Source organism: Homo sapiens, chromosome 19 (assembly GCF_000001405.40).
Source record: "Homo sapiens chromosome 19, GRCh38.p14 Primary Assembly".
NCBI classification, from domain to species: Eukaryota; Metazoa; Chordata; class Mammalia; order Primates; family Hominidae; genus Homo; species Homo sapiens.
In genome coordinates this window covers 29785323-29795972 of record NC_000019.10, presented here as the reverse complement: position 1 = coordinate 29795972, position 10650 = coordinate 29785323, and the positions used below count along the sequence as shown (strand labels likewise).

Genomic DNA, 10650 nt, shown 5'->3' with positions numbered 1-10650 from the left:
CACAAAATGTGTGGTGAGCTATGTTCTATCTTTATGTCATTAACACACAAAAGCAAGAAAGCTCCAAGTTAGAGCATCTGCAATTCAGCCCAGTGTGCAACAAGCCATATGGTATGAATGCGAAACAGAAGACAACAGAAGCCCCTCATCCGCCTTTGTCTGCAGAACTCCCTCGAAAGCGTGGACCACGGGCTCCTCCTGCCCTGCCCGTCCTTGCAGAGGCTGGACAGCTTCACCCATTCATTCATCCATCAAACATTCACTTAACTCCTGTCCCGTGCCAAGGGCTGTTCTCCCACCAGCAACAGATGGAACCAAGGCAGGAGAGACCTGTTGTCAGGTGGGAGAACAGTCAGGTCATAAGGAAGTAAAACAATATATTCAAAAGGTAAAATGTTTCCCTTAGTTACAAGAACTCTTTTTTTTTTTCTTGAGATGGAGTCTCGCACTATCGCCTGGACTGGTGTGCAGTGGTGTGATCTCGGCTCACTGCAACCTCCGCCTCCCGAGTTCACGCAATTTTCCTTCCTCAGCCTCCCAAGTAGCTAGGATTACAGGCTCCTGCCACCAAGCCTAGCTAATTTTTTGTATTCTTAGTAGATACGGGGTTTCACTGTGTTGGCCAGGCTGGTCTTGAACTCCTGACCTCGTGATCCTCATGCCTTGGCCTCCCAAAGTGCTGGGATAACAGGCATGAGCCACTGCGCCCAGCCCAGTTATAAGAACTCTTTTAAAAAAATCTTTTAAATGTTTTGTAGAGATGAGGTCTCACTATGTTGCCCGGGCTGGTCTCAAACTCCTGGGATCAACAATCCTCCCTCCTCAGCCTCCCAAAATGCAGGCATGAGCCGCCTCACCTGGCCAGTTACGAGAAATTCTTTTTTTTTTTTTTTTTTGAGACGGAGTCTCGCTCTGTCGCCCAGGCTGGAGTGCAGTGGTGCCTTCTCAGCTCACTGCAAGCTCCACCTCCCGGCTTCACGCCATTCTCCTGCCTCAGCCTCCCAAGTAGCTGGGACTACAGGCAACTGCTACCATGCCCGGCTAATTTTTTTGTGTTTTTAGTAGAGACGGGGTTTCACCATGTTAGCCAGGATGGTCTCGACCTCCTGACCTTGTGATCTGCCTGCCTCGGCCTCCCAAAGTGCTGGGATTACTGGCATGAGCCACGGCACCCAGCGAGAACTTCTGAGAGAGTAAGTGAGTGATATAATAGACAGTAAGTGGATCTTGGGTGAGTCGCTTCAGATAAGGTGGTTCAGGAAGGCCTTTCTCTCTCTCTGTTTTTTTTTTTTCTTTTTTTTCTTTGAGGCAGACTTTCGCTTTGTTGCCCAGGCTGGAGTGCAGTGGCACAATCTCAGCTCACTGCAACCTCTGCCTCCTAGGTTCAAGCAATTCTCGTACCTCAGCCTCCTGAGTAGCTAGGATTACAGGTGCCTGCCACCATGCCTGGCTGATTTTTTTTTTTTTTTTTGTAATTTTAGTAGAGATGGGATTTCACCATGTTGGCCAGGCTGGTCTCCTGAGCTCAGGCAATCTGCCCACCTCAAAGTGATAGGATTACAGGCGTCTCAAAGTGATAGGATTACAGGCGTGAGCCACCACGCCCGGAGGAAGGCCTCTCTTAAAAGGAGACATTTGATTTCTTTTTATTTCCATAGGTTTTTGGGGGAATAGGTGGTATTTCGTTGCATGAGTAAGTTCTTCAGTGGTGATTTGTGAGATTTTGGATCAGTACACATTGAACCAGTTTGTAGTCTTTTATCCCTCACCCCCCCTCACCCTTTCCCCCTGAGTCCCCAAAGTCCACTGTGTCATTCTTAGGCCTTTGCATCCTCATAGCTTAGCTCCCACTTATGAATGAGAACATACAAGTTAGGTTTTCCATTCCTGAATTACTTCATTTAGAATAATACTCTCCAATCTCATCCAGGTTGCTGCAAATGCCATTAACTCATTTCTTTTTGTGGCTGAGTAATATTCCATCATATATATATATACCACAATTTCTTTATCCACTTGCTGATTGATGGGCATTTGGGCTGGTTCCACATTTTTGCAATTGTGAATTGTGTTGCTATAAACATGCATGTGCAAGTATCTTTTTCATATAATGACTTCTTTTCCTCTGGGTAGATACCCAGTAGCGGGATTGCTGGATCAAATGGCAGTTCTACTTTTAGTTCTTTAAGGTATCTAAGAGGAGACATTTGAGCTAAGACCTGATGCATGAGAAAAATCCAGCAAGGAGAGCTATGGGGAAAGTATCCCCGGCATGAACACAGGCGCAGAGCAGGGAATAGGTTTTGTGGGATCACAGAACGCAGGAAGGCTGGAGCACAGTGACGGAGGGAGAGTGGGTGAGGTGAGAGGGAAGAGCTGAGCAGGCAGGGGCACTGTGGGTTGTCATAGGAGTTTGGATCTTAGTCTAATGCTACTAGAAGCTCTTGGAGAGTTTTAAGTGGGAGAGTGACTCGTCTGATTTACTTGTTGAAAGATTGCTCTGTGGCTGCGGGAGACCACAGGAAGCAGAAATCAGAAGCATAGAGACCAGTGGTTCAAACCAGGCAAGATGGTGGCTTGGCCAACGTTGGGGCAAGGTGGGATGGACACAGGGGTCAGATAGGTTTGCAAGCAGAGAGAAGGCGGGCTGCCCATGGCCTAATGAGCATGCAGGCCCATGGTCTTGGGACCAGTAGAGGCTGACAAGGACTTGGGCAGGGACAGCTGGGCAAAACATGACGTGAAAACACAGCTTCCTGCTCCTCAGGACTCCACCTCTGCAGATGGAGTGCCCTGTCTACGTCACTTCTCACTGAAGATCTAGTTTTCTTTCCTGTCCCCTCACCTCTGCGGTCTTTTTTTTTTTTTTTTTTTTTTTTTTGAGATAGAGTTTTTCTCGCTCTGTCACACAGGCTGTAGTGGAGTGGTGTGATCTCGGCTCACTGCAACCTACGCCTCCTGGGTTCAAGCAATTCTCCTGCCTCAGCCTCCCAAGTAGCTGGGATTACAGGCGTCCGCCACCATGCCCAGCTAATTTTTGTATTTTTAGTAGAGACAGGGTTTCAACATGCTGGCCAGGCTGGTCTTGAACTCCTGACCTTGTGATACGCCCGCCTCAGCCTCCCAAAGTGCTGGGATTACAGGAGTGAGCCACTGCACCCAGCCCACTTCTGTGGTCTTGAGTATGTCGGCATCATTCTGCCAGGTGGAAGTCCAGGGAGGGGAAGTCACCATCTAGGGCCACCAGTGACAAGGGGCACCCTGGGAGGAACGCTTTTCCATAGACAGGAAAAAAACTTGGGGTCCTAGCCGTCCTTCCCAGGGCTCAGCTGGCCATTCTGCATTGTAAGTGGCATATGAAGGCTGGGCCCTGTCCTCACCATCAAGGACATGCGTTCATGCATACCTAGAAGCTGTGGAACTTTCTGCTTTAGGAGCGAGAGCTTCTTTGCCTCCTCCTGGAATGGAGGCACACCCCAAGCTGCAATTTGGGGTCTCCGGAAAGCAGAGTTCAGTGTGCAGGATGAGTGGTAGAGTGTCCTAGGGGTCAACACCTGGGATCAGCAGGGGTGAGAAGCAGGAGGGCGTTCTAGGGCTGGAGTAGCCACCACCGCTGTCCTGTGTTGGGCCAAAGTGGTATGACCTTTAGACCTCCGCCTTCATCAGTCACAGCGTGGGGCCACCTTGCAGGATGTGACTGTGGCGAGGCAGCTGTCTGCAGTGGAGGCAGGCCCAGAAGGGCTACAGCTGGAGGCTATGGCAGTGGGCTTCCTGCAGGTGGGCCCTGGGGGTCATATCTGTGTCTACCACCCTTCATTAACTCAGACATGACCAACGTGTAAACCTGCAGTTTGGGTCATGCTAAAGTCACATCTTCCTGTTCCTTAAGCAAGAACAGCCAAAGGTTGCAGACCATAGCCAGGTGGGTCTGAGACTCCATGGGAACCCCATTTACATGGCAACAGCTAAAGGGACAAAGACCACTGCTCCTGCACCGTCATGCCGGCCCCCTGAACACAGAGACAGCCCTATGTTCATCCAACTCCATGTCTTTCATTTTCCTTAAAAATGTGCACTGCCTGTCTCTCCAGTGTGCTCAGGGCCAGAATGAGCAGGGAACCCCAGGCTGCCCTGCCCTCATGGAGTCCACAGGCTGGTGGGGCAGGGAGACGCCAGACAAACGACCACACCAAAGGCCAGGTATTGAGTCGCATAACAGCAAACATTTCCCGAGGTATCGCTGTGTGCTGAGCCTTAGACGCACCATTCTCTAGCGCAAGATGTGATTCACACACCATCCTCAACAACGGAAACTGATGTCAGGCCATCTCGCTTCAGCTCCAGACACAGCCGCAGCGAGACCCCAGCAGTCCTCAAGGCCACCAGCCAGGACGCGGTTGGAAGAAGGAACAGAGGTCTTTAGAACCTGATGGACTGTGAGGGAGGAGGAGGGGGTCGAGGAGGCTCCTCTGAGCAGTGAGGCTTGAGTTGAGACATAAGAGATGAGAAGGCGTTGACAGGGAATAGAAGGGTTTAAAGGAAGGAAGAGCATGAACAAGGCCCTGGGGTGGATAACCAAAACTCACTGGAGGATCCAGGAGGTGGCCGAGGGGGCCACTGTGAGGACTTCCTTTGCTCTCTCTCTCTCACTCTCTCTCTCTTAGGAAGAGAGTTTCACTCTGTCACCCAGGTTGGAGTGCACTGGTGAAATCATAGCTCATTGCAACTTTGACTTCCTGGGCTCAAGTGATTTTCCCATCTAGGTCTCCTGAGTAGCTGGGACCACAGGTGCACCCCACCATGCCTGGCTAATTTTTAAATTTTTTGTAGAGATGGGGTCTGGCTATGTTGCCCAGGCTGGTCTCCAACTCCTGGCCTCAAGTGATCCTGTCATCTCAGCCTCCCAAAGTGCTGGGATTACAGGCGTGAGCCACTGTGCCCGGCCTCTTCCTTCATTATCAGGGCCACAGGGAGAGACAATTCTATGTGCGTCTTGGAAAGACTCCTTGAGCTGTCAATTGAAGAACAGATTTTTGGGGGAACCCAGTGATGGAGGTGCCTACAGTCATGCAGGGGGAGGATGGTGCCAGGGCCGGAATGTGGCAGGGCATGGTACAAAGTGGCTAGATTCAGTGCAGTTTGGAATAAAATCAACTTGGCAAATCCGGGACATTCAAGGTCCTGAGACATAAGACAAAGGCAAAAATGACATCTCTTCTCTGACTTTTATATATTACATATATCAAAACATCAAAAGAACAGTATAATGAGGCCAGGTGTGGTGGCTCATGCCTATAATTCCAGCACTTTGGGAGGCCGAGGCTGGTGGATTGCTTGAGTCCAGTAGTTCGAGACTAGCCTGGCCAACATGGAGAAACCTTGTCTCTACTAAAAAATACAAAAATTAGCCAGGTTTGGTGGCACATACCTGTCATCCCATCTACTTGGGGGCCTGAGGCAGGAGAATCACTTGAGCCCAGGAGACAGAGGTTGCAGTGAGCCGAGATTTCGATACTGCACTCCAGCCTGGGCAACAGAGCAAGACTCTGTTTCAAGAAAAACAAACAAACAAAAAACAGTATAATGAGTACCTGTTAACATCTACGCAGAATCACTGGTTGGTACTATTTTGCTATACTTGCTTTTTCTCATTCATTCTCTACACACACACACTTTTTGCTGTGCAGTTGCTGACATCATGATGCTTCATGTCTAAATTATTACCTCTATAGTTATCCCTTAAGAATAAGGATGTCCTCCTCAGTAAACACAGTAGCACTTCTGCACCTAAGAATGTTAACAATTATCCAATAGTATCATTTAATATCCAATCCATGCCAAATTTCCCCAACTGTCCTCAGAATTTTTTTTTGACCAGGATCCAATAGTCCTTGGTTGCTGTGTTTATTCTTTAGTTTATTTTCATATAGAACACACCCAACCCCTCTCCTTTCCTTCCTGTGAGGCCCATGAGGCTTTTTTTTTTTTTTCTTGAAATGGAGTCTTGCTGTGTCACCCAGGCTGGAGTATAGTGGCGAGATCTCAGCTTACTGTAACCTCCGCCTCCTGGGTTCAAGAGATTCTAATGCCTCAGCCTTCCGAGTAGCTGGGATTATAGGCACCCGCCACCACACTTGGCTAACTTTTGTATATTTAGCAGAGAAGGGGTTTCACTGTGTTTCCCAGGCTGGTCTCGAACTCCTGACCTCAAGTGATCCGCCCGCCTTAGCCTCCCAAAGTGCTGGGATTACAGGCGTGACCACCGCACTCACCCCCCATGAGGCTTTTAGACAATTTCAGGCCAGTTGTCTCGTAGGACATTGCCCATTCTGGATTCATCCAGTGGTTTGCAGGCTTTCTTTTAAAAGAGCTTTATTGAGCTATCATTCACATACCATACAGTGTACCCATTTAAAATGATTTTATTATCGATTTATTTGTGTGTGTGTGTATATATATATATATATTATATATATGAACAGTTTTCAGTATATTTACAGATATGTGCAACCATCACTACAATCAACTTCAGAACATTTTCACCACCTCAAGAGGAAACCCTTTAGGTATCATCTATACCCACCTCCTCTGCCCTAGGCAACCACCAATCTACTTTCTGTCTCTTTAGATTTTCCTATTCTGGACTTTGACATGAATGGAATCATGTCATATGTGGGCTTCTGTGACTGGCTTCTTTCACTTAGTGCAATGTTTTCAGGGTTCATCCGTGTTGCAGCATGCCCCAGTACTGCATTCCTTTTCATGATTGAGTAATACTCTGTGGTTTGGATATACCACATTTTGTTCATCCGTTTGTCCACTGATGGACACTTGAGTGTTTCCATGTTTTGGCTTCTATGAATGTTTATGAATGCTGCTGTCAATGTTTAGGTACAAGTGATCGTGTGGACTTATGTCTTGGGTCTATACCTAGGAGTGGATTTGCTGGGTCACAGGGTACTTCTTTTTTTTTGTTGTCCAGGCTGGAGTGCAATGGCGCGATCTCGGCTCACTGCAACCTCCACCTCCTGGGTGCAAGTGATTCTCTTGCCTCAGCCTCCCAAGTAGCTGGGATTACAGGCATGTGCCACCATGCCTGGCTAATTTTTGTATTTTTAGTAGAGACGGGGTTTCGCCATGTTGGCCAGGCTGGTCTTGAACTCCTGACCTCAGGTAATCCACCCACCTCAGCCTCCCAAAGTGCTGGGATTACAGGCGTGAGCCACTGCACCTGGCCTGTTGCAGTTCTTTTCAGTTTCGCCTAATGGAGTCTTACACCTGAGCCCAGCTGGCCCTCCCCTCTGCAGCTTCACCCCCACAGGTCTGTGCCTCCCCTGGCCCCAGACCATGGAGAAGGATGCAAATGCTGCCGTAGTTGGCCCTCGTTTCTTATCTTTGTATCTGCCCTTTGTAACGTGCAGCTGGTCAGGTTGTTGTCAGGTCCTTACTTGCTTTTTTCTTTTTTGAAACAGGGTCTCACTCTATCACCCAGGCTGGAGTGCAGTGGTGCGTTCACAGCTCATTGCAGCCTCAAACTCCTGAGCTTGTCATCCTCCTGCCTCAGTCTCCTGAATGACATGAATGGCACACACACCACTGTCCCTGACTAATCATTTTATTTTATTTTTTTGTAGAGAATGGGTCTTTCTATGTTGTCCAGGCTCATCTTGAACTCCTGGGTGGAAGCAATCCTCCCACCTCAGCCCCCCAAAGTACTGGGATTACATGTGTGAGCCACTGTACCCGGCTGTCCCTGTAGTCTTCTATCACCATTTTACTCAGTGTCCAAAAACATCCCCAGGAGGCACCAGGGCAGTCTGTTAAGTTGGGGAAACTAAGTCCTCAGAGAGGTAAAAGTTGCTCAAAAAGCTAGTGCTGGACACTGGGCCAGGGCTGCTGGGCTGGCCTAACTGGGTGCTGAGACTTCCTGGCTGGCCCTGCAAGGTGCCACGTGTGGCACTGGGGAAGGTGGCAGGAAGGAGGTGTTTCCAAGAGCAAAGGACCCACAGAAGCCTCCATTCCTAGAGCTATTTCCCACTTGGGGCTTTGCTGCCCATCTGCTATTTACCAAGGAGGTGCCAATGCCATGGGGGACCTCGTGTCCCTGGAAGCGGCCAGGCCAGGCTGAAGCAGCCGGTGGGCCCAGCCTGGAAGGCCAAGGGCTCCACTGGCCCAAGGAGGCTGGGGCTGTTGCAGACTCAGAGCTTGTTCAGACCGCAGTCAAACCCTTTCTCTCTGCACAACGCCTGATTCAGAGCTAGGCTGCCTTCCTGGGCTGCTCCAGGGCTGCGGGGTTTGAGTGTTTGCTCCCTGTGACCAGGTGAGGCTAGAGAGGGCAGATGTTTACCCTGGCAGGATCCCGAGTCCCTAACCCACCCCTGCACCCACCCTGTGCTTCTTGGGAGCCAGATGACTCTGGGGACTCTCACCTCCTCCCCTTTCTTCTGCTGTTGTCTTTCCTGACGTGTGCATCTGTCCACATTCTTCTGTCAACATTAGATTTAGGGCCAGCTCAAATGCCACCTCCTCCAGGGAGCTGTCCTCCCTCCTCTCTTCTGGATGCCATGGCGTATATCCACCCTCCCTCAGACACTGACTTAGTGTCCTGTTGCTCTGAGGTCCAGGTGATCTGGTCCATGACTTCTGATGCTAGCAAATACACAGGGTTCTCCTGGGGGGCATGACCCGAGTCCTCTTTATTGATTTGGTCAGAATTATTCTGGGCTTAAAATAAAAAAAAAAATCGTATCTTTCCTATTTCTCCCTTTGCAATCTTTATTATTATTATTTTTTGAGACAAGGCTGCACTGTCATGGCTCACTGCAGCTTCTACCTTTTGGGCTGAAGCGATCCTCCCACCTCAGCCTCCTGAGCAGCTGGGACTAAAGGCGCACACCACCACATCCAGCCAATTTTTATTTTTTGTAGCAAGGTCTCACCATGTTGCCCAAGCTGGTCTCATAGGAGGGTCCTGATGCCTTGCTCTTATCCCACCTCCTTCCTTGTCTCAGCACTGTCCATTCTTGCTGCAGCAGCCAAGAGGGGTCTTCCTAAAACATAAGCGGATCACATCCTACTCAAAAAAAACAAAAAACAGGCTGGTTGCAGTGGCTCACACCTGTAATCCCAGCACTTTGAGAGGCCGAGGCGGGTGGATCATGAAGTCAGGAGTTTGAGACCAGCCTTGCCAACATGGTGAAACCCCATCTCTACTAAAAATAAAAAAATTTAGCTGGGCGTGGTGGTGCATGCCTGTAATCCTAGCTACTCAGGAGGCTGAGGCAGGAGAATCGCTTGAACCCGGGAGGCGGAGGTTGCAGTGAGCTGAGATCGTGCCACTGCATTCCAGCCTGGGCGACAGAGTGAGACTCTGTCTCAGAAACAAACAAACAATCAAACAAACAACAAAAAAGAAAGCATGTCCAGCCCTTGGTGATTTGGCCCTGAGCCTTCTCCAGCCCCATCTCCCACTGCTCCTTCTTCCTCCTGGGACTTAAACTCCAGGCTCTGCAAACCACATCCTCTTCCTCTTCACCCAGTTCTGGCATCACCTCCTCCAGGAAGGCCTCCAGCATTTTCCCAAGCGGCCAAGAGCACCCTCTGCTGGATGTGCACAGCTGTTCACCACCTTAGCAGGGCTGACTCTGGGGAGCCTACTCCCTGGCCCTGTTTGCCCTGCAGGTACCTGTGCTTTTCCCCTGCCCACCTCCCCATTGCCGAGCCTGGCCTGTGGGCAGTGTCCATGGACAGATCTGAGGACCCAAGGGAGTGGGAAGCCTTGAGTGGGCCCCACCTACCCCGGGGAAGGCAGAATTGCAAGCTTCACACCTAGGTCCCTTCAGGCCTCAGCTTAGATGCCACCTCCTCCAGGCAGCTTTCCCTGACCCCCACTGAGATGCTGCCCTCCAATGATCTCACCATATCCCTAGTTTCATTTTCTTCCTAGCACGGAGACCAGCTGTTATCTTCCCCGCTTGTTTAATTGTCCCCCTCCCAGCCTCCCACACCCATGGCACAGTCAGCTCCAAGGGGCAGATTGCCGTTCCTTCTGTATCCCAGCCCTTGGCATAGCACCCACACCAGGGAGGCCCAGTAAATAATGGGTAAATTCATGAGCTTCAGGACCCTCCCCAGGGGTGGGTATTTGAGCTATCTTTGAGAAGAATTGTCATGGCTCACAGGTTTAGGGGGCTGGTACTAGGCCGGGGGAAGTTCCAACAGGGTTGGTGATCCCCTTGACATTGAGACCCGTGTCTCTACCCCAGATTCTGGGCCTTTGGGTGACACAGGCTGTCCCCGAGAGACAAAAAATGACTCACTCCTGGTTGGGCATCCCAAGACTTAGTTCTCCAAAGCAGAGGGGCTGCAGGTGGTTGTGGGAAGGGCGGAGTGTCCCCAGGCCCTGCCCTCCCTCCTGCAGCCACTCTCCTCTTCAGCTGCCCTTCCAGGCTGCTGGTGGCTACCCTCAGCTCCACCATCCTGTCTCAACAGCCTTGGGCTTTGCCTTTTCTTTCTCCTCCCCTTTCCCTGCTGTGTTCTCTTTATTTATCTTTTCCTCCTTCTCTTATGGTCTTCCACATCCACTTACGGTGCGGGACACACATAGGTGCACAGCAACTATCTGTTGGCTCATTCAGCTTATAACATATT

The 10650-nt window shown here is 50.1% G+C and overlaps 1 annotated feature.

Annotated features, from left to right (window-relative positions):
* Positions 3424 to 3624: a silencer, noted in NCBI's record as "fragment chr19:30283256-30283456 (GRCh37/hg19 assembly coordinates)". NCBI's record gives its function as "represses an EF-1alpha promoter that drives an FKBP-Casp9 reporter gene in an ReSE screen in K562 erythroleukemia cells {active_cell/tissue: K562}" and the evidence as "EXISTENCE:reporter gene assay evidence [ECO:0000049][PMID:32094911]".